Below are 23,916 nucleotides of genomic sequence, written 5' to 3' on the forward strand. Positions count from 1 at the left end.
GACTGCAACTCTTGTGTCTGAACTGGCACCAGCCTTCATTTCTGGTTCATTCTAAACTCTGTGGTCGGGTAACAGGTCACCGCCGCCTGGCCCGAGGCCCCAGCAGCAGCCCCGGGAGCCTGGAGGACCTGCATGTTCCGAAGCCCACCCAGACCTGCCGTGTTGGATGCTCTGGGGGGTCCCCGCAGCCTGGGTTCTACCAAGCCCTCCAGAGGATGCAGGTGCCCACCACAGTCTGAGGACCACTGGGCTCAAGAAAGAGTGAGGCAGGATGCGGGCAACCTCTTTGTGCCTGTTTTCTCCGCTATAAAGTGGGGCAGGAGCACCTGCTGGGGTGAGAAGAGCACTGTGGAGAATGAAAGCTTTTGGGCTTCAGGGAGTGCGGCGTGGCATTCGCTCCCACTCCTCCTCCTCTGTGCCCACTGCGGCCGAGCCGCAGGAAGGCAGGATCTTGCCTGTTTTGTTCATGGACACGTCCCTGCCTCAAAAACCAGGCCCGGCATAGAGCAGGGGCTCAACAAATACGTGCTGAGTGTATCTCACTTGTATGGCTAGCTACGGTGTAACCCCAACAAAACCACGCAACCTTGTTGAATGAAGTAAAGGATACCTGTGCCTGAAGTTACAGAAGAGCTTCCACACAGATATCCCAGGCTGAATTTCTGCACAAAGTTCTTGCCACTTTGACTAATAAGCTCAGAGTGATTATAAAACTATTGTTTTACAGGCCAGGCATGGTTGCTCATGGTTGTAATCCCAGCACTTTGGGAGGCCGAGGTGGGCAGATTGCTTGAGCTCAGGAGTTTGAGACCAGCCTGGGCAACAGGGCAAAACCCTTTGTCTACAAAAATATACAAAAAAAAAAAAAATTAGCTGGTCACGGTGGCATGTGCCTGTAGTCCCAGCTACTCGGGAGGCTGAGGTGGGAGAATCACTTGAGCCTGGGAGGTCAAGGCTGCAGTGAACCGTGATCGTGCTACTGCACTCCAGCCTGAGTGACGGAGGAAGACTGTGTCTCAAAAAAATTTTTAAAAAATATATTTTAAAAACTATTTTTTTTCCAATTAATACTTCCACTTGAACAGTTTGGGGTGGCCTCTGTCACCTGCCTACCAGATGTGAGAGGCTGGTGGCCTGGCGTCTTGGGGTTCCAGCACCTGGGGTTCTGGAGTGAACTGCGTCCGTCATGGTGTCTACTCTGTGGCTTATGCTTGGGTCCAGGGGGCAGGATCTGGTTTAGAGCAATCCAGGTTCCAGTCCAGACCCTGCCACGTTCTGGCCCCGGCACATTTCATGAGGCCCTTAGCTTCCCGTCTGTGAGCAGGTGGGGGCCCACCTCTGACGGTGCTCAGTGGATTCAGTCAGGTAACATCTGTGAAGGCAGTCGGGGCACGACCAGCGGGGAGCGAGTCTGCATTATTCTGAGTTACCTGAAAAGTCGTATCTGGCAAGACCCAACCACCGTTTCTTCTCACTGTCCTTGATGATGTCCCCGTAGAAGCCGTAGCCCAGCAGGGACACGGAGTAGCGAAGGAGTGTGCTGTTGTGGTGGACTGAGGACACATCCATGGCCAGCGAGTCCCCTGTGGGAGAGAACGGCCGTGAGGGAAGGCAGCCCCCCTCCAGCCCCGCCCCATCCACTCCATCCCCTTCAATAGCACTTTGCAAACGTGGGAGTTACTTTTAAAAAGTGTGAAACAAACAGAACGCATTCAGTGCAAGGATTCTCTCTCTTGGGGTGTTGGATGCCATATTTTTTATTCAAATGACTGAACTCCACTCAAATTTCTAAAACAGGCTCGGGGAGCTATCCTGTGGGGACTGAACAAGAGTGTATCCGTGAGGCTCATGAAATATCTTTAACTGAAAGGACGGTGGTTTTAGAATGAAGAAAAAGTACATGGCATTTTAAAATACAAAATCAAGCCGAGTGCAGTGGTTCACGCCTGTAATCCCAGCACGTGGGGAGGCCGAGGCGGGCAGATCACCTGAGGTCAGGAATTTGAGACCAGGCTGGCCAGAATGGTGAAACCTTGTCTCTACTAAACATATAAAAATTAGCCAGGCATGGTGGCGTGTGCCTGAAATCCCAGCTAGTGGCGAGGCTCAGGCAGGAGAATCGCTTGAACCCGGGAGGCGGAGGTTGCAGTGAGCCGAGATCATACCACTGTACTCCAGCCTGGGCCACACACAGAGTGAGACTCTGTTTCAAAAAAAATAAAATAGGCCAGGTGCGGTGGCCCGCGCCTGTAAGTAACCCCAGCACTTTGGGAGGCTGAGGTGGGTGGATCACCTGAGGTCAGGAGTTCGAGACCAGCCTGGTCAACATGGTGAAACCCCGTCTCTACTAAAAATACAAAATGAGCTGGGCGTGGTGGCAGGTGCCTGTAATCCCAGCTACTTGGGAGGCTGAGGCAGGAGAATCGCTTGAACCCGGGAGGCGGAGGTTGCAGTGAGCCAAGATCGCGCCACTGTACTCTAGCCTGGGCAACAAGAGCGAAACTCTGTCTCAAAATAAAATAAAGTAAAATAGAATAAAATAAAATGCAAAATCAGAAGTAGGCCGGGCACAGTGGCTCACGCCTATAATCCCAGCACTTTGGGAGGGCAAGGTGAGAGGATCACTTGAGCCCAGGAGTTTGAGACACAGGGAGAACCTGTCTCTACAAAAAACACAAAAATTAGCCAGGTGTAGTGGTGCACTTCTGCAATCTCAGCTACTTAGAAGACTGAGGTGGGAGGATCGCTTGAGTTCTGGAGGTCGAGGCTACAGTGAGTCAAGATCATGCCACTGCACTCCAGCCTGGGTGACAGAGTGGGACCCTGTCTCAAAGAAAAAAATATCCTGACCAGGTGCTGTGGCTTACGCCTGTAATCCCAACACTTTGGAAGGCCGAGGCGGGTGGATCACCTGAGGTCAGGAGTTCGAGACCAGCCTGACCAATACGGTGAAACCCCATCCCTACTAAAAGTACAAAATGAACTGGACGTGGTGGCGCGAGCCTGTAATCCCAGCTACTCTAGAGGCTGACGCAGGAGAATCGCTTGAACTTGGGAGGTGGAAGTTGCGGTGAGCCAAGATAGCGCCACTGCACTCCAGCCTGGGGACAACTGGGAAACTCCATCTCAAAAAAAAAAAAAAATCCTAAGTGGCTATTTTAAAATATACAGTTTCTGTGACTTCAGGTGAGGCACGGTAACCCTGTCTACTGGGGTGAGGAACAGGCGAAGGCACAAAAGATCTGTCCTGCCAGAGCCCACCGTGCTGAGTGCCATGGGCAGCCCCTTCTGCTCTTCCTGACCGGGGCTCTGCATCCTGGACTGAAGCCTCGAGGCCTCACAGAGGCATGCGTTCCACAGCTGGCAGCCCAGGCACAGCTGCCCGTGCCCACTGCCACAGGCAGTATGGCGGGACGCGGGTGGTTTCCGAGCCTCGGGGCAGCAGCCTCTGGAGGAGGAACTGAGCAAGAGTCAGGTGAGCTGAGTACGGGCATCGCGCATGTGGTGGATTCCGTGGGAAAGAACTCGGCCCACACTGGGCGTGCCCCCAGGAAGCCCGTCCTGACAACGTGGCCTCGGAGCTGCGTGCTGAGTGGGATCACAGCGCAGCGAGCAGAGCAGGGGACACAGCGTGACCCACGGCCAGGACAGGACGGCAACGGCTGGAACACGCGACGGGGACCAGAGTGGGACAGGCCTGGGGGCGCAGGAGGCCCGGCTGCCACCGTGCGCATGCGCAGAGGAGGGGCTCACCAACAACGATATGCAGCGCCGAGGTTTCTGCGTCGCTGGTGCCCACGGTGGAGTAACACACGCAGTCCGTTGACCCTGTAAAGGGAAAAAGAAGGTCCCAAATAGCATCAGAATAACAGAATTGTAATCGCCTCCCAATTCAGTGAGTGGTACCTCATTCCTTTCCTTCCATGGCCCTAGAGTCAACACTAAGGAATAAATAGAATTTACCTACAAAATGAATATAGAAAATACTAGCGTTGATTCCTCAAGAATATTGAGATTGGGCCGGGCGGTGGCTCACGCCTGTCATCCCAGCACTTTGAGAGGCCGAGGTGGGCGGATGACTTGAGGTCAGGAGTTCGAGACCAGCCTGGCCAACATGGTGAAACTCCGACTCTACTAAAAATACAAAAATTAGCCAGGCGTGGTGGCATGCACCTATAATACCAGCTCCTCAGGAGGCTAAAGCAGGAGAATCGCTTGATCCCGGGAGGCAAAGGCTGCAGTGAGTCGAGATCGCGCCACTATCCAGCCTGGGCAACAGAGTGAGACTTCGTCTCAAAAAAAAAAAAAAAAAGGAGCCAAAAAGTTAAAAAAATATATATATGTGTGTGTGTGTGTGTGTGTGTGTGTGTGTGTGTGTGTGTGTGAACATTTACAATTATAGGCATAACAAAATTTTTTTTTTTTTTTCCGAGACGGAGTCTTGCTCTGTCGCCCAGGCTGGAGTGCGGTGGCGTGATCTTGGCTCACTGCAACCTCTGTCTCCCAGGTTCAGGCAATTCTGCCTCAGCCTCCCGAGGAGCTGGGATTACAGGCACGCGCCACCACGCCCTGGCTTACTTTTGTATTCTTAGTAGAGGCAGGGTTTCACCATGATGGCCAGGCTGGTCTCTAACTGTTGACCTCGTGATCCGCCCGCCTTGGCCTCCCAAAGTGCTGGGATTAGGCGTGAGCCACCACACCTGGCCCTCGTAAACTTCTGAAACAGCTGGATGCGGCAAAGGTCACACACAGCCATTACTTGAGATCTTAATACCAGGACAGCCAGGACAGGCAGCTCAGGTCCCTGCTTCAGCCCGATGTTCCCCGTGAACGGGGCCGGCTGCGGCTTATGCATCTTTTTATCCTGCGCTTCACTGGCTCAGATGAAAGGGAAGCTGCAGCTGCCCCGGCTGATCGCACGGCCTTCCCTCTGAGGACCATGCTCAAAAGAATGATTTGCATCCACAATGACCACCCATACCTGTGGGAGTAGCTGTGCTGGTTCTCAACATTCCCCACACAACTGAATACGGGAGTTCCTCATCCACCCGGCCAGCACTGCCGCCACCCGAGTAACGACCAACCACATGCTCCCGTTCACGCGAGAAGGACGGGGCTCCAGGGGGGTTGCTCCCAGGACATGCGCATCATCTCCTTGAGCCTCTCTGTGCCTAAGTCATTAGCAGGCAATGCTGGCTGAAGTTACAAGCAGCAGATGCAGTTACAGGCTAACACCCGATGAAGGACCGAATGAATGACGATCTCTTCTTCCTATCAATTTGCTAATGCATCTATACTAATACATATGTGGAAGAGACTTGGAAGGTAAAACATGCTACATCAGGTCTCAAAGCAGCCGGAGCCATGCCTTTCAGATGCTCCAGTGACATCTGTCCCGGAGGCAGCCATCCACGGGAGGCAGCTCAACACCCTCCAGATCTCAGGACCCCAACCCCCACCTGCCCCTCCTGCCTCTCCTGCCCCCAGCCAGCAAGACAAGCAGTGACCTCTGCACCTTCTAGCGGCTGGAACCCTGGAGCATGAGTGAGTTCAGGTACCTGCTGCCACCACCGGCCGTGCGCATCCAGGCGGCCTCCCACAGGGTCTGTGGCTGTCAGGTCTCACTCACAACTCTTGTGCCCCCAGGCTGCTCCCCAGGTTGCCATGGTGACCGTTACAGGGCCACCCTTGGGTGTCTCCCTCACCCTTACTCCTCCACTCAAGGCGATGCTGCGGAGCAGAGACTCCACACAGCCCCCCACCAGCTACACCCCGGAGTCTCAGACCCCATGCAGCGCCCTTACCGTCCAAGCCACCAGCGTTCTCACCGGGGCCCACATGCTCTTAGGACCAAACGCAGAGAGCGATATCGGAGCAGAGTCAGACGTCACCCCCTGCCGAACCACCGCCTCCAAGACCTCCTGCTGCATGGCAGAGTGGAACTCGGCATCTCCCTCGGGCCCTGCCCTGCCCCTCCACCCCCACCCCCAGCCACACTGGCTTCCTTGTCCCGAACACCCCCAGCTCCTCCCACCTGCTGCCCTCTGCACCAGCTGACTCCCGGCCTAGGCCCCTCACCTGTCACCTCTCAGAAAGGCCTCCTGGACACCCATGGAAAGGGGCCACAAAGAGACCCTCTCCCCAGACCCTCCCCCAGTGGCATTTGCTACAATGCGCACCCACCCTGGGAAAGGCTTTTATGCCCACATTTGGTGGGGTGCCTGCTGTCCTCTCCTGGGGCAGAGGCCACAGCCAAGGCCTAGAGGAGGGCAGGGCACACAGCGGTACCCCCACCCTGACCACGGGGCAGGGCACACAGTGGCACCTCCACCCTGACCATGGTGAAGTGCAGCCTGCATCCCCACGAGCACTCCTGAGCCGCAGGTCTCAGCTCCTGAGGTCGTTGTGGATTTTAAGAGCTGAGGATTTTAGGGCTTAGCACTGCCACTGGCAAATGGTGACAAAAGACAGGTTTCTTGCAAACAAGGTAAGAACCATACAGCATAGATGAGAATGCAGAAAAACAGAATTCATGGAATCCAGAACGCACCACATACAAAGTTAAAAGACCAAAACCTAATTTGGAAAAGAGTTGCAAGACACAAAAACCAATGAAGGGCAAATAACGTATAAACAATGTTATGGTCAATTAGAAAGTGACAGGCCGGGCATGGTGGCTCACGTCTATAATCCCAGCACTTTGGGAGGCCGAGGTGGGCAGATCACGAGGTCAGGAGTTCAAGACCAGCCTGGCCAACATGGTGAAACCCTGTCTCTACTAAAAATACAAAAATTAGCCGGGCACGGTGGTGGGTGCCTGTAATCCCAGCTACTAGGGAGGCTAAGGCAGGAGAATTGCTTGAACCCAGGAGGCGGAGGTTGCAGTGAGCTGAGATCATGCCACTGCACTCCAGCCTGGGTGACAGAGCAAGACTCCATCTCAAAAAAAAAAAAAAAAAAAAGTGACAATGCCCTCTTGCTTCCCCATGAGAACATGGACTAAGCAAGGGAAAGGAAGTTTACAAAAGCACACAATGCAAACAGCAAGAGGACCTGTGAAAAGCAGTGTGGCCTCACACATAATGAAAGAAATACAAATAAAGAGAGTAAATAAAGATAGTGAATAAGGCAGCATACTCAGTCTATCAGATGGGATAAAAGTTAAACCACAGACAAACCTCCAGGCTGTGCCAGGCTTGGGGAAACTCCCCCTCCCAGCCCCGTGGGTGGCCTTTATGGGAGAATTAAGTGGGCCCAGAGACTCCACGTCAAGGGATGTCCACAAGGAAATCATGACCTGGAGCCTCTGAGAGCCACACGTGCACAGGGGCCAGGGTCCTTCACGAGTGTGGAAGATGCAGAGAGAGTATGGAAAGAAGGATGGGAGTGAGGGGCCTGGGGTGAAGACAGCAGGAGACGGTGCCTTGATCTCAGGCACTTGTGGCCATAGGGAGACAGTGCAAGGCCATCAACATTGGTTGTCTGGGTCATTCAAAGAATCGGAACGGGCTGGGTCCAGTGGCTCATGCCTGTAATCCCAGCACCTTGGGAGGCCAAGGCAGGTAGATCACTTGAGGTCAAGAGTTTGAGACCACCCTGGCCAACGTAGCAAAACCCTGTTTCTACTAAAAATACAAAATTAGCCAGGCATGGTGGTACACACCTGTAGTCTCAGCTGCTCAGGAGGCTGAGGCAGGAGAATTGCTTAAGCCCAGGAGGCAGAGGTTGCAGTGAGCCAAGATCGCACCACTGCACTCCAGCCTGGACGACAAAGTGAGACTCTGATTCAAACAAACCAACCAACCAACCCAAAGAACTGGAACGCCTCTTGAACCAGCGCCAGCCAGCAAGACAAGTGGTGGGTGACTGGCCAGGCATGGTGGTGCACGCCTGTAATCCCAGCACTTTGGGAGGCAGAGGCTGGTGGATCACTTGAGTCCAGGAGTTTGAGACCAGCCTGGGCAACATGGTGAAACTCCATCTCTACAAAAATATGAAAAAAAAGTTGGCCGAGTGTGGTGGTGCACGCCTGTGGTCCCAGCTACTTGGGAGGCTGAGGCAAGAGGATCACTTGAGCCTGGGGCAGTCTAGGCTGCAGTGAGCCACGATCATGCCACTGCACTCCAAACTAGGTGACAGAGTGAGACCCAGTCTCAAACAAAAAGACAAGCCGTGATCTGTGCACCTTCAGGGGCTGGGAGCCTGGAGCGTGTGAGTGTGCTGAGTGTGTGTGAACACAGAGCTCGACCTTGCACAGCTGTGCTCAGTCATTCAACAGATATCTAAGAGGGAGTTTGGGTGCCAGGGCTGGGTGCCCCACCGAGGACACATGAGTGAAAGCCAACCTCCCTGCCTGTGGGGAAGACAGACATCAGCCAAGGCCCAGGGGCCCTCCCGAGCCGTCTGCTCCCGGCCAGCTCTTCCGCTCTCCCCACTCCTAACTGCCTGGCAGGAACCGAGAGGTCGGCGGCACACAGGAGGCCTGAGAAGGATGTGAGGAAATCCAGCAGAGGCTCCCCCGAGATCCAGCGGGATGTTGCTATAATGCTTTGGTTTATCTGAGAGACTTGTTATTGGAAGGGGTGCTGAGAGCTTTTTCTCTATTGAGCTATTTCTAAAGAACCATTTCTCCCCTTAGTGTCTCCCAGCCTGGAGCCAGGCTGTTCTCATTAGACAGGACTCTTCTCAGGTGAGTGACATTCTTCTAAAACTCATCAGGCGATATTATGAAAAGTTCCTCTCTATTAATAACTGCATCACGCCTTCCCTAAAAGCCAAAGGGAAGGGATCGTAACCAGACGATCATCCTTTCCTATATACTTAAAACCATGACCATGGTCAACTTGTTGCTAACAATTATTAGTAATTCACGAGATATTATGCTAACACAAATCCCCCTAAAATGAGTCTTGATACTGAAAACACCCGCAATGTCACCATCCGTGGGGAACATTTGCCTCACACCATTATTCACAAGCTCTGTCATTAAGAAGGAGTAATGACTTAAGTTTAAAGGATGACTCCCTCAAGTAAACACTGGCCCACAATGTCACCTGTCGGAGGCAGGTTAGAGTTGAGAGCGGCACCCACAGAGAAGGTGGCTCAGGGCCTGTCCCTCGTGAGGGCTAGCCTTTCCCTTGCTTTGAGGCAAGGTGGCCTCTAAACCTCCAACTCTCGCTCCCATCCGGTGACCTGTGACCTCACCCCCAGTCCTCCTGTCTTCATCCATAAAATGGGGATGACTGCGGTGCTCACATCCCAGAGCTGTGACGAGAGTGAAAGTGTGCACCATGCCGCCACCCTCGGGGCCAGACACAGGGCCAGAGAGGACAGACACCTCGTCCCCTGCCAGGTCATTTGCAAAGCCTGCAACACACCACGCTCAGGCCCTCAGCTTGACTTAGCTTAACACTGTGATTTTTCAAAGAACAAGGTGGTTCCTAGAAGGATGTTGAATGGACCAAGCCGAACCAGCACTTCAGGACACAGCCCAGCTGTTCCCGGGCTCGGCTAGGTCCTGCCCTTGGTTCCGCCCCCACCTTTCCCACTCAGTCTCCTCCCAACTCCCCAGCCCGATTCCTGCCCACACCCACCCCTAACTCCCGGTTCCTTCAGGTCCAGAAGCCACTTCTTCCAGAACGCACCCCCTGCCAACCTACCCACCTGCTCCCGGGCACCGGGGGTTCCCCACTCCAGGACTGCACCCCCAGCGGTGGGGTTCTCCTGCCTTGCGTGAAGCAGCCTTTGGGGGAGTCGGGCAACTTTCCTTTCCACGAGTGTCTATTTCATTGGGGTCATACTCTCAATGATATCCCCCCAAGAGTGGCCCTAATGTTAGGAAATCTGTACGAACTAAACTGAGTATAATTGGGTTATTAAGTGTCCGAGGTGGCTACTTGTGCAGAACAATTCCTAAGGACGGGAACGAAGAGAACAGAGAATGCCAGGCCGGCTCCATACCTGCGGGAATGATTCCAATCCGGAGGCTACTGGGGACCAGCACAGCCCGGGGGTGGTTCTGGTCGACCCCGGCGCTCCTCTGCGTCCTCCCAATCAGACCGTGCAGCACCTCGCTGAACATACCATCTCCGCCGACACAGACGATGCTGCAGGAGGAACACAGCCGGTCAGGGCTCCTGCAGGTGCGGCCCTCTGAGCGCAGCAGGCCTGAGGCTTCCAGCTTCAGGAGGGGCAGCCTGCACACCTGGCCCTTGGCAGGCATCTAGAAGTGCGGCTCCTGAAATGTCCCTAAGTGATAAGGTCGTGCCTCTGTGCCAGTTGGCCTAGACCACGTGTACAAATAATGAGATTGATGGCAAATACTGGCTTTCCTTCTGTGAGTCTGGAATTTGGGTGGCTAGGCAGAGAATGCCTGCATGCCTGTACCCCCTCAAAAACACTACACTCTGGGTCTCAGGACTCAAGTTTGCGGGGCGGGAAGAGTACACCTGTGCTGCTGCATTTGTGGGAGCAGAGAGGGTGCACTCCAGGTGACCCGCACTGCGGGAGAGGCACAGCAGTCTGCGCGGGGACGTTTCTCCTTTGCTAAGCTGGCTGTGCAGCCTTGCTCTGTCCCGTCAGAAATCTCAGCCGAGAGCACGACTCTAGCTCAGGCAGCAAATCACCAGCCGTGTGGGTGGTCTTGAGGACCCAAGGCAAGAGCAGAGGGGACGGAATAAATGCGGACAAAATGGGGCATGAGACAATCTAAGGAGAGGAGATGGAGAAAGGGGACAGTGGCTGAAGGGAGAAAGGACGGGTTGGTTTCAGGGTGTGCTGTCCTATGCCGGGGGTAACCCACAGGGAACCAACACTGAGGTGGCAGAATGAGAGGTGCAGGCATGGAGACAGACATGTCACTGCAGCCCAGAGGGAAGGCAGAGGACAGGGCTCAGGTTTCCTGGACATCTCTATAGCCTACGGCAGCCCAAGAGCTCTCATCACCCGGGAAGAGAGGGTTGCAGGGGGAAGGTCCGCCGGTAGAGGAGCGGTGTGAGTCGACTAGGGGGTGCAGCCTGAGGGGCCTCCCTCAAGCATGACAGCATCAAGGTGCCTGCCCATTCCCCAGTGGGTCTGTCTGTGCAGGCGCGACCAGTCTCCAGGGCTGGGATCTCTGCCCACCACCCACCACTCAGGCCACCTGCTTTGGGCCCGGCTCCCATGGGAAGGCTCTTTGCCCTTCCCCGTAGCCTACACCTTGCACCGGGGCAGCCTTCCCAGCGGGGCTGTGGTTTCGAGGACAGGGCATCCTTGAATGGGCAGTGTAGCATCTGTGTGTTAGACAGACAGATCACTCAGACAGACAGCTCAGCCGCAGGAAGAGCAGCCCTCACTGGCCAGGCCTCCCAGCCTCCTGCACGGCATGTCCCTGGGTTTGGGGAGAAGGCGTGCCCTCAAGAGGCGAGGCTGATCCCTTGGCTAGGGTGGGTGCAATAAGGTGCCAGCCCCATCCCTGCTGAAAAGTGAAGACGACTGTCTTCCTGCCAAGCTGCTGTCGGGTGGAGGTGGTGGGAAGAAGTACATGGAGGAGCTGCCATCGGGTGGAGTTGGGGAGATGTGCATGGAGGAGCCCCCTGCTTCCTGGAGCCCATGAACAGAACACTCCCGCATTAGGAGGGGAGCAAAGGGGTCTCCCTGTCAGCACCTGGGGGCAGGGGCTCCTTTTATTTCCCTTTCTAACCTTAGCACCAGCAGAGTGCTGGGACCTGGAGGACCCTCAATAATGTTTGTGGAATGAATAATGATTTCAATAAATATCCGCTGCAATTTATAACACATTGCTCACCGACTCCAGATGGAACAGAGAGAAGAAAACAAAAAGCCAACCAATGACAAGGCAATTAACTACAGGGGAATAGCTAAACTCAAGATGAAGAGTGAAATTTTAAGCATAAAGAACAGCACAGAAGAGCTGGACAGACTTGAGTACATGAATTTGAAAACTTCTACTGGGAAGAATTAATGCCATAAGCAAAATTAAAAGACAATTTCAAAATTAGCAAAAATATTTGCAAAAATATGAATATAAATATGAATTGCCTATTATTTGTTGGATAAGAGAACAAATGACTGAAATTATGGCCAACAAAAGAAAATGGGCCAAAGACATAAAAATCAATTCCAAGAAGCCAGCTAGCCAATAAACATATTTCTTAAAATATTAGAGACTTTCACATGTCAAATTAGCAGAGAAATTTTATACTGATAATACCAAACATGTTGACAAAGACAGTAAATAATATACTATAAGAAAGAATGTAAACTGGCCGGGCGCGGTGGCTCATGCCTGTAATCCCAGCACTTTGGGAGGCTGAGGCGGGTCGCGTGGATCACCTGAGGTCAGGAGTTCGAGACCAGCCTGGCCAACATGGCGAAATCCTGTCTCTACTAAAAACACAAAAATTAGCTGGGCGTGGTGTTGGGCACCTATAATCCCAGCTACTCGGGAGGTTGAGGCAGGAGAATCATTTGGACTTGGGAGGCCGAAGCTGCCGAGGTCACGCCATTGCACTCCAGCCTGGGCAACAAGAGCGAAACTCTGCCTCAAAAACGAAAAAAAAAAAAAAGAATGTAAGTTAATAGAATCTCTTTCGAAAGCAATATGGCTGTACACGGCAGAGATTTTAAAATGTTAATCTCCTATGACTAATTTCATTTCTAGGAATTTACCTTAAAAATGTAGATGTATGCAGAGAGATTTATGTACAACAATGCTATCCTAAGAGCAAAAATTGGAAAGAGCCTGAACATCTACAAGTGAGAGGCTAAATAAATATGGCATGCCCACATAATGGACCATGATATGGGCATTAAAAATAGTAGTTCTGGGAAATCTCTAGGAATTTTGGGGAAAAGAAGAATCCCAAACTGTAAAAACGACAGCATCTAAACATTCTTGATAATGTGCTTGGTTGATTTGCTTCTCTGTCTACACAGCACCGCATAAGCACATCTTCTGAAAGACCGAAAGGGAACAGAACCAGCAAACAACCATTCTCGCCCAGCCCAGCCAGAGAGGAGTGTGTGACTGCACTTTTCTGCCTTTTCTTTCTTGCCTTCCTGTAAGAAGCATGTTTACTTTTACAATTGGTCGTGGGTGGAGGCGGGGGGCGGATTTAGGAAAAGGAGCTCTCAAAACTGAGAGGTGGGTAGAACTTTTTCATTAACAATGGACTTGATGGCGATGAAAGACGGCTTACTCACCCGTCGTATTTGTCTATGTTAATCTCATACAGAGTCTCCTTGGCCTGATTAGCATGTTCAGTAACTGTGGGGAAAAATTACATCACACAGTTTATATTCACATCTGTGAGTCCTCACGTAAAAGGCAAATCATCCATTCTTTTAAAATGAGTTCCTGTAACACCTTCAGGCGGATTTCCTAGATAAAATTCCCTCTTCAATTCTACATCGCTCTTATGGGACGGGATCAAGCTGACCTCAGGGAACGTGAACATGAACCTCTCTCGGGCCACAGTCTGCGCGATGACATGCAGCGTTCCTGGTATTTAATTGCCGGCAAATAATAATTTCTTTGAAAGAGATTACGTCTCTTTTATAATTTTTCCTTATTATACAAGTTACTTCCAAAATTGTACACTATACCAAAGTGTAGTAAGAAGATGTTAGTGCAGTCTCTATACCTGATGTAAACTTCTATTGAAAGTCCCCCCACCCCACAACAGGCCCCGGTGTGTGATGTGAGATTATTTCTAAGACTTATTAATCCTTTGTGTCTCCTCTTTTGAGAATTTTCTGTCCAGAATCGTTGCCCTTTTATCTTCCTAGTGTTTTTCTTGATTGCCTTCTATGCTGAGAATTGGCTGGAAAATACTAAGTTATTTATTTTGTATTCTTCCCATTCTGGTATGTAAAAAAAAGTTCTATTTTGTTTAAAATAATCTTACAGGATAAAAATCTTGGGCTGGGCACAGTGGCTCATGCCTATAATCCCAGCACTTTGGGAGGCTAAGGTGGGCAACATTGCTTGAGCCCAGGGGTTCGAAACCAGCCTAAGCAATATGGTGAAACCCCGCCTATACAAAAAATACAAAAATTAGCCAGGCATGGTGGCACAAGGTGTGGTGCCAGCTACTTGGGAGGCTGAGGCAGGAGGATCATCTGAGTCAAGGAGGCTGAGGTTACAGTGACCCACAATTGCACCACTGCACTCCAGCCTGGGCAACAGAGTGAGACACCGTCTAGAAAAAGCAGAAACGTCTCTAGTGACTATACTTGAATCATTCTCAAACTTACTTCTACATAGTTAACATAGAATTTGTTACCGATGATGTCAGTGGTGATGGAGGCTAAGGTGAACAGTGGTGCCACTTTTCTTTCATATATCCGCTTGCCTTGTCCTTTTCCTCCAAACGGGTTGATAAATACCAGTAAATGCTTTGGTCTGGACGCTGTAAGACAACAACATGTAAATAACAACGAAAATAACAAAATCAAAACGAAGAGCTCTGTTACTGGACAAAATCAAACCATGAGGGTTTTAGAATTCTGCTTAGTATTACCTGATGGAAAGTATTTTTAAATCTTAAAGAACAATGACAAAGAGCTTCCTGATCTATGAAAAGAGAAAATCAACAGGTTGTCCAACTGGGCAAAGGCTATACACACATGTCGGACATCATGAAACTCCCACGAACTCAGAATTCCGACTGAGAAGGGCTCTCTCTGCTCTGAAGGGTGCTGTCGGGTACACATGCTGGGGGCAGCAGCCTCGTTCTTCTGCAGGTGAAGGAGGTGAGTGTGCAGACAGCAGGAAGAAGGAAGCAGACAGAGGGAAGAGTCTTAGGAAAAGCGGACCAGCAGGTATGGAAAGAAGAAGCCACACAGGGAGATGCTTGCAGAGATGGAAAGACAGAAACCAGTGACCTCGTTTCCATCTCTCCAGGGGCCCCGCCAAACTCCCATGCCTGGGTTTCCTCAGTCACCCCCATTTTCTTTTCTTTTCTTTTTTTTTTTTTTTGAGATGGAGTCTCGCTCTGTCGCCCAGGCTGGAGTGCAGTGGTGTGATCTCAGCTCACTGCAAGCTCTGCCTCCTGGGTTCATGCCATCCTCCTGCCTCAGCCTCCTGAGTAGCTGGGACTACAGGCGCCCGCCACCACGCCCGGCTAATTTTTTGTATTGTTAGTAGAGATGGGGTTTCACCGTGTTAGCCAGAGTCACCCCCATTTTCTTATAACAACTTCCACATTTCTGTTTTGGTGGGTTCATGTGACTCTGCTACTTAAAAGAACACATTTAACTAACAAATCAATAAAAGTAACAAGACAGTATCTACCCAAGGAAACTGAAAACCTAAGTCCATACAAAAATCCAGACACAGGGCCAGGCGCGGTGGCTCATGCCTGTAATCCCAGCACTTTGGGAGGCCGAGGTGGGCGGATCACGAGGTCAGGAGATCGGGACCATCCTGGCTAACACGGTGAAATCCCGTCTCTACTAAAAAAAAATACAAAAAAATTAGCCGGGCGTGGTGGCGGGCACCTGTAGTCCCAGCTACTTGGGAGGCTGAGGCAGGAGAATGGCATGAACCCGGGAGGCGGAGCTGGCAGTGAGCCAAGGTCGCGCCACTGCATTCCAGCCTGGGCGACAGAGTGAGACTTCATCTCAAAAAAAAAAAAAAAAAAAAACAAACAAACAAAAAAACACAGACACAAATGTTCATCACAGCATTCTTCACCACAGCCAAGCAGTGGGAACAGCCTGAACGCCCATCACCTGAAGAAGAAATCGAGACGCAGTCCACACATCAACGGAGCATCCTTCAGTCATGAAATAAGCAAACTACTGGGTGCGACCAACATGAATCAATGTGAAAACAGTATGCAGAGAGACTGGAGGCTTCCACCCAGGAGCACACGTAAAACTTCTGGGGTGACAGAAGCCTTGATGGGTTTGAGTTACAAAGGTATGTGTGTTTCAGAAGTCATTGATTGAAACTTAGGATTTTGGCCAGGCATAGTGGCTGACACCTGTAATCCCAACACTTTGGGAGGCCAAGGCAGGAGGATCATATGAGCACAGGAGTTCAAGACCAGCCAGGGCGATATAGTGAGACTCTGTCTCGACAAACGATCAAAAAAAATCAGGCCAGGCTCAGTGGCTCACGCCTGTTAATCCCAACACTTTGGGAGGCCGAGGTGGGCAGATCACTTGAGGTCAGGTGTTTGAAACCAGCCTGGGCAACATGGTGAAACCCTGTCTCTACTAACAATACAAAAATTAGCTGGGAATGGTGGCAAGCACCTGTAATTCCAGCTGCTCAGGAGGCTGAGGCAGGAGAATCACTTGAACCCAGGAAGTGGAGGTTGCAGTGAGCCAAGATCGCGCCATTGCACTCCAGCCTGGGTGACAGAGTAAGACTCCATGTCAAAATAAACAAACAAACAAACAAATTAGCTGGGTGTGGTGGTATGCCCTTGTAGTCCCAGCTACTCTGGAGGCTGAGGTGAGAGAATCACTTGAACCTGGGAGGTCGAGGCTGCAGTGAGCTATGGTCGTGCCACTGCACTCCAGCCTGGGCTACAGAGTGAGACATTACTCCAGATTCTACCAATATTACAAAGAAAATGAAAGAATTTACTAATAAGTTCATGCTAATAAACTCACGAATTTGGATGAAATGGTTAAACTTCTCAAAAAGCAAAATTTGTCAGAGATACCAGAAGAAATAGAAAATCTGAATAGTCTGACAGCTAATAAAGACACCAAAGCTATTAATGAAAACTTCTCACAAAGAAAACTCCAAGCCCAGATGATTTCACAACTGAATTCTTCCAAACATTTAAGGAAAAAATAGCCTCAAGATTATAGGAACGCTTCCAGAGAACAGAAAAAAACAAACACGTATGAACTCTTTGTATGACACACCACTGTGACCTTGGGAACAAAACCAGACAAAGATGTTATCAGAAAGGGGCTCATATTCAGACATCCCTCCCCTGAACCTACGTGCAAAAATCCTAAACACAATATCGGTAAGTCAAATCCAGTGACACATAAACAGTACTACATCACAACCAAGAGAGGTTTGTTTACTCCAGGACTGCAACAATGAGAAATTAATGTAACTCAACACATTAATTGAAAAAAAAAAAGAAAGTCATACAGTCATCTCAATAGATGCAGAAAAGGCATTTATCAAATTAAATACCCATTCTCCACTTAAAAAAACCAAAACTCTCAGAAAAGTAGGATTAAAAGGAAATTCTGTCTTAATCTGATTTTTAAAATCTATTAAAAACATAAGAAACATCATTCTTAATGGTGAAACACTAAAATCTTTCCCCTGAGATCAGGACTGAGACAAGGATGCTGCTAGCACCCCTGTGTTGGTCCAAGCCAGGGCAAAAACATAAGGAAAAGAAATAAAAGAGAGAAGAATTAAAATGGAAGAAACACAACTGTTATTATGCACAGCTGACATGATCGTGTTTGACAAAAATCTAAAATAATCATCAAACTATTAGCATCCATAAGTGAAGTTTGCAAGGTCATTGAATGCAAGGTGAAATACACAATTCTATCACATTTCTATACACAAACAATAAAAAATAAATAAACAGTGCAGTAGGGAAAACGAGACTTTCCCGTAAATGCCACAGGGTCAAGCAGATGTTTATAGTTAATGAAAATACTAGGTTGGGCACAGTGGTTCGTGCCTGTAGTCCCAGCTACTTGGGAGGCTGAGGCAGGAGGATCGCTTGAGCCCACTAGTTCAAGGCCACAGTGAGCTATGATCGCATAGCTGCACTGCAGCCTGGGTGACAGAGCAAGACCCTGTCTTAAAAAAATGAATACATAAAAAGAAAGAGGAAAATGAATCTTGACTGCTCACCTCACACTGGACACAAAGATGAATTCCAAATGGATTACATAGATCCAAATGTGAAGCGGAAAACAATAGAGCTTGGAGAATAAAACGTCTTCGTGACTTTGGAGTAGACAAAGATATCTTCAATAGGACACAAGCTTACCAGAAAGTTTTTTAAAATCATAAAAATAGGCCGAGTATAGTAGCTCACCCTGGTAATATCAATGCTTTGGGAGGCTGAGGTGGGAGGATTCTTTGAGCCTAGGAGTTTGAGACCAGCCTGGGCAACACAGCAAGACCCCAGCTCTATGAAAAAATTTTCAAAAAATCAGCCAGGCACGGTGACATGTGCCTGTAGTCTCAGCTACTTGCGAGGCTGAGGCAGAAGCATTGCTTGAGCTCAGGAGTTCAAAGCTGCAGTGAACCGTGATTGTGCCACTGCACTCCGGCCTGGGTGGCAGAACAAGACCTCATCTCCCTTTTTTTTTTTTTTTTAAAGATGGAGTTTTGCTCTTTCGCCCAGGCTGGAGTGAAGTTGCATGATCTCGACTCACTGCAACCTCCACCCCCAGGGTTCAAGTGATTCTCCTGCCTCAGCCTCTCGAGTAGCTGGGATGACAGGTGTGTGCCACCATGCTTGGCTAAGTTTTGTATTTTTAGTAGAGATGGGGTTTCACCATGTTGGCCAGGCTGGTCCCGAACTCTTGACCTCAGGTGATCCACCCGCCTCGGCCTCCCAAAGTGCTAGGATTATAGGCGTGAGCCACCATGCCCGGCCAAGACCCCGTCTCTTAAAAAAAAAAAATACGAGATTGAAAAGGCAAATTACAGAATTGGTAATTCTTATTAATTACATAAATTTATGTAATTAATAAATTCAATAAAAGATTCAGATCCACAATATGTAAACAGTTTCTACACATCATTAAGAAAAAGATACAACCAGCTGGGCATGGTGGCTCATGCCTATAATCCCAGCACTTTGGGAGGCTGAGGCAGGTAGATCACTTGAGGCCAAGAGTTCAAGATCAGCCTGGCCAATATAGCAAAACCCCCTCTCTACTAAAAAATACAAAAAAACTAGCCAGGCGTGGTGGCACACGCCTGTAGTCCCAGCTACTCAGGAGGCTGAGGATTGCTTGAACCCAGGAGGCAGAGGTTGCAGTGAGCCAGGATCGCGCAACTGCCCTCCAGCCTGGGCAACAGAGCGAGACTCTGTCCCCCCACCAAAAAAAAAAGAAAAAAAGAATGAAAGAAAGGAAGGAAGAGAAAGATAACAACCAAACGGAAAAATGGACAAAAGACTTGAACAGAACCTCACAAAAGGCGATATCTGAATGGCCCATGAACATATGAATGTGTTTCTCAACCTCATTAACCATTAGGGAGTGCAAACTACAACCACAGTGCAAGACTATTAACACCACCATGGCTAAGACGTAAAGGTGTGGCTAAGATGTGGGGCAACCAGAACTCCCGAACCCTGAGGGTGGAATGCAGGCTGGCAGCGTCTTCTGAAGTCAACACATGCAACAAACACCTACAACCCAGCGACTCCATTCCCAGGTATGCACCCAGGAGAAATGCAGACGGGTGCAAAAGACATGCTCTAGAATGTTCCCAATGCTACTGTTCATGACAGCCCACATCAGGAAGCTGTCCAAATGACCAGCCACTGTACCATGGGTGAATAAATGGCCGTAACATTCACATCACGGAATACCATACGGCCTAGAGAATGGACAAACGGCAGCCCCACGCGAGAGCGTGGAAAATTTATGCAAGACTACTCGCCACCACGGTGGAAAACAGCGTGGAAAACTTCACAAGTGTCATGTTGAGCCGAGAGCCAGGCACAAAAGGTTTCATACTGTATGATCTGATTTCTATCAAGTACAACAGTGAACCTAGTTGTTTAGAAGTCGCAGCAGTGGTTCCCCTTTGGGGAGTCATGACCACAGGGGCACGGTGGGGGACCCTGGGGCTGGCAATATTCTGCTCCTTTATCTGGGTGCTGGTTACACAAGTGTGCTCAGCGTGAAAATTCACCCAGTGCACACTCAGAATGAGATCCTCTGGGTCTGTGATATGACAAATACTAAAACAGCCTGTAATCCCAGCACTTTGGGAGGCCGAGGTAGGCGGATCACTTGAGGTCAGGAGTTCGAGACCAGTCTGGCCAACACGGCGAAACTCTGTCTCTACAACAAATACAAAAATTAGCCAGGTGTGGTAATGGGTGCCTATAATCTCAGCTACTTAGGAGGCTGAGACAGGAGAATCGCTTGAACCCAGGAGGAGTTTGCAGTAAGCCGAGATTGCACCACTGCACTCCAGCCCGGATGATGGAGTGAGATTGTCTCAAAAACCAAGAACAAAACAAAGAAAAAAACCCACTAAAACAGATAACAGGGTTAGAAGTTAAAATTGTAGAGTAGCTGAAACAATAGAATCATATACAATTTTTAGCTACAAGGAGACTATATCAAATGCACAATTATAAAGATGAAAATGAACCCACATTCTCCAGTGGGAGGCAGGGTTCAGAGGACTTTCTCTTGGAGTCTGCACCTATAGGATCAGGTCTGGAATCCAGTCAGCCAAAGTCTCATGAAAACAGGTTTGATGGGAGGAAAGGGAAGGAGAAAGCAGGACGGACGGAAAGGGGGAGTCGAGAGACAAACAGAGGAGGGGAAGGCGGGAGAAACAGATGCACTCTTCTGAACAGCCTAGTGCGGAACGACATGCAGAGGAACGGGGCTTGTGGTGGTTTGAGATGTGAGGACGGTCAGGATGAGCTTTTCACGACAGCAGGTGGTGGAGGCCAAGTCCCCCAGGATTAAACAGGGAAGTATGGAAGCACAGGCCCTCCTGCCCCAGTTGTAATCAAGAGGAGGGCTCCTTCAAGCAATGATGCTGCTCTGAAGCAGATATATGGGAATGCCTCCTTTTAATAAACTGAAATTCACTTTCTTGATGTAGGTGCCAAATTCATTCAAAAATATATAAAACTAACCTAAACACATGCCATTTCTATTCTATGGGTGAAGCCTGTGCTGAGTTGTCAAGACTGTGTATTGGCTGGGCTCAGTGGCTTACACCTGTAATCCTAGCACTTTGGGAGGCTAAGGTAGGAAGATGGCTTGAGCACAGGAGTTTGAGATCAGCCTGGGCAATATGGCAAAACCCTGTCTGTACAAAAAAAATTAGCCAGGCGTGGTGGCACACACCTGTAGTCCCAGCTACTCAGGAGACTGAGGTGGGAAGATCACTTGAGCCCGGAAGGTAGAGGCTGCAGTGAGCTAAGATCATGCCACTGCACTCCACCCCGGGTGACAGAGCGAGACCCTGTCTCAAAAAAAATTGCCTATTAAGGTTATAAGCAAACAACATGAAATAGTGTTATGAATACAAAATGAATGAACACCTACCACTTTGTGTGTGTGTGTGTGTGTGTGTGTCTACCATATGTTCCTTTTTTTAAACTTTTAAGTTCACGGGTACATGTGCAGGTTTGTTATATAGGTAAAGTGCGTGTCATGGGGGTTTGGTGTACAGATTATGTCTCTAGCCATCCTACCACTTTTTAAGGGTGACAAAGTCTTGTTACTCAGCATGCAATAACTAACCCACCAGGCTCCAGGCTCCTACTACATTTCAGATGTGGACACATCCCTGGCTGGGCGTGGTGGCTCACACCTGTAATCCCAGCACTCCAGGAGGCCAAGGTGGGGAGATCACCTGAGGTCAGAAGTCTGAGACCAGCCTGGCCAACTTGGTAAAACCCCATCTCTACTAAAAATACAAAAATTAGCCAGGCGTGGTGGCGCATGCCTGTAGTCCCAGCTACTCGGGAGGCTGAGGCAGAAGAATCACTTGAACCCAGGAGGTGGTGGTTGCAGTGAGCTGAGATCGCGCCACTGAACTCCAGCCTGAGCAACCAAGCAAGACTCCATCTTGAAAAAGAAAAGAAAAGAAAAGAAAAAAGACATGGACGCATCCCAGACAGATGTGAGGTGTATTCCTCCATGTGCCCAGTTTAATTCTCACATTCACCTCGAATGTAAAAGCTATTACCATCTCCGCTTCCAGAAAGAGAAACTGAGGCTCAGAAGGGTAAGTGACCCGCCCCCAGGCCTCCTGGCCAGTGAGCAGGGGGCTGGACTCCATGCCAGGGTCCAGGCTGTGGAGCCCATGCCCTTTGCATTCACTGGGATGGTCTGCTCATGAGAAATTAAGTCAGCCTGACTCATCATGTCCACCTGGGGTATGGCCAGCTGCACGAAACGGGGAGACACTTCAGGAAGATCACCCAATCAGGCATGCGCATGCCACCACGGCCATCCTGTCTCTCAGTCCAAACACACACGTACTCAGCTTCTCCAGCATCTCCCGCAGGGTCTGCAGCCACAAGTGACACAGCTGCTCCTCTGGACACCAGAAAGTCACCTGCGCCCACTTCCAGCGGTGCCGTCGTGCTCTCTTTACACAGTGAACTGCACAGAAGCAAGCATGCTCGTTAGTGCAAAGTTTGCAGGGTCACTGACAAAACCTCAAGTGAATATGCACCAAATGCAGCTAATTATAGGTTCCTAACCAAAATTTCCCAGGGGTTCTCCTCCCTTCTAATTAGTAACTTTCAAGGTATATTAGAAAAAAACATCCGATCTTTCAAACCTTTTAAGTCATATAAGGGAAAAGGGCTGGCTGTGATGACTCACGCCTGTAATCCAGCACTTTGGGAGGCTGAGGCGGGCAGATCACCTGAGGTCAGGAGTTCAAGACCAGCCTGGCCAACATGGTGAAACCCCGTCTTTACTTAAAATACAAAAAAGTAGCCGGGTGTGGTGGCGGGCACCTATAATCCCAGCTACTCAGGAGGCTGAGGCAGGAGAATTGCTTGAACCCAGGAAGCAGAGGTTGAACTAGCCGAGACCGCGCCACTGCACTTCAGCTTGGGCAACAAGAGCAAAACTCTGTCTCAAAAAAATAAATAAATAAAAATAAGGGGAAAAATGACCATTAACTAAAACATTAACTAAAGGTAGCATTTGGGGAAAAAAATAGGAAGATTTCATAAAGATAAACCAATGCATTGAGCTTGTTAAACAAGTAACAGAAAAGTTCCCTCTCGTGTAATCTACATAGAATTAATGAAGAATGTGGGAGAAGACATTTAGGCTTATCACCTGTAAAAGCGTAAGGCTTTTCCATTTTCTGCCATTTTCCACTGCCTTGATGTTTCCCGTGAACGTCTGTTTCCTCAACGGCGATGATCTCAGATACAGGCACAGAGCAGGCATCTGTAAAAACACCACGTCCTTCTGTCAAAGAATTCGTCAGAATCCACACAGGTAAAATCAGTCCAACTCCAAGAAGCTGAGAATATTCTGCTTTAATATTCTCATTAGAAATTCAGGCTGGGTGTGGTGGTGTGCACCTGTAATCCCAGCACTTTGGGAGGCTGAGGAGGGAGGATCGCTTGAGCTCAGGAGTTGCAGTGGGCTATGATGGTGACACTGCACTCCAGCCCTGGCAACAGCACAAGACCCCATCTCCAAAAAGAAAAAAGATATACATATATATATATATTTTTTTGAGACAGAGTCTCACGCTGTCGCCCAGGCTGGAGTGCAGTGGTTCGATCTCGGCTCACTGCAAGCTCTGCCTCCCGGGTTCGCGCCATTCTCCTGCCTCAGCCTCCCGAACAGCTTTTTTAATACCCCCTCCCCCAAAAAGGAAGGTTATAGGTCACTTTTAAACTCACAAATAAATAACTGTGGGCAGCTCAATGTTACCAGACGGCGGGATGTTTTATTCAGCCGAGTCACCAAATGGAGGCTGTGATTTTTCACACGATTTGCTCACCCATTCAAGCAGCAAATGCGGACCATTCCGGGCCAGCTACCATGTGAAATTTGGGGAAACATGCTCGAGACATGGCCTCTGTCTGCAGGACAGTGCCTGGTTCAGAAATCCAAGTGGGAGGGAGACACGTGACAGGACCCGGGACAGCTGGAACCACGGAGCTTGCAAGTGAGGCAGAGCCCAAGTGTGGCGCGAACTGGAGTGCAGGGGGAGGAGAC

At 49.8% G+C, this 23,916-nt stretch overlaps 1 protein-coding gene across 1 annotated transcript in view, besides 1 other annotated feature; it reads right to left on the reverse strand.

The window, feature by feature from the left end:
* The window catches only part of CERK (ceramide kinase), a 53,843-nt gene that overhangs the window by 13,473 nt on the left and 16,454 nt on the right, over positions 1 to 23,916 (reverse strand). The window contains exons 2-8 of the mRNA NM_022766.6: positions 23,020 to 23,133; positions 22,204 to 22,326; positions 14,286 to 14,411; positions 13,204 to 13,267; positions 9,961 to 10,106; positions 3,754 to 3,828; positions 1,431 to 1,583 (exon numbers count right to left, since the gene is read on the reverse strand). Of these exons, the coding sequence (NP_073603.2) occupies positions 1,431 to 1,583; positions 3,754 to 3,828; positions 9,961 to 10,106; positions 13,204 to 13,267; positions 14,286 to 14,411; positions 22,204 to 22,326; positions 23,020 to 23,133 (801 nt within the window). The remainder of the gene's footprint in view (positions 1 to 1,430; positions 1,584 to 3,753; positions 3,829 to 9,960; positions 10,107 to 13,203; positions 13,268 to 14,285; positions 14,412 to 22,203; positions 22,327 to 23,019; positions 23,134 to 23,916) is intronic.
* Positions 12,802 to 14,001: an enhancer, noted in NCBI's record as "MED14-independent group 3 enhancer chr22:47106581-47107780 (GRCh37/hg19 assembly coordinates)". NCBI's record gives its function as "activates an origin of replication core promoter dependent on BRD2, BRD4, P300/CBP and CDK7 cofactors, and independent of MED14, by STARR-seq in HCT116 cells {active_cell/tissue: HCT116}" and the evidence as "EXISTENCE:reporter gene assay evidence [ECO:0000049][PMID:35650434]".

This window comes from Homo sapiens, chromosome 22 (assembly GCF_000001405.40).
Source record: "Homo sapiens chromosome 22, GRCh38.p14 Primary Assembly".
In the NCBI taxonomy this organism is placed as follows: domain Eukaryota; kingdom Metazoa; phylum Chordata; class Mammalia; order Primates; family Hominidae; genus Homo; species Homo sapiens.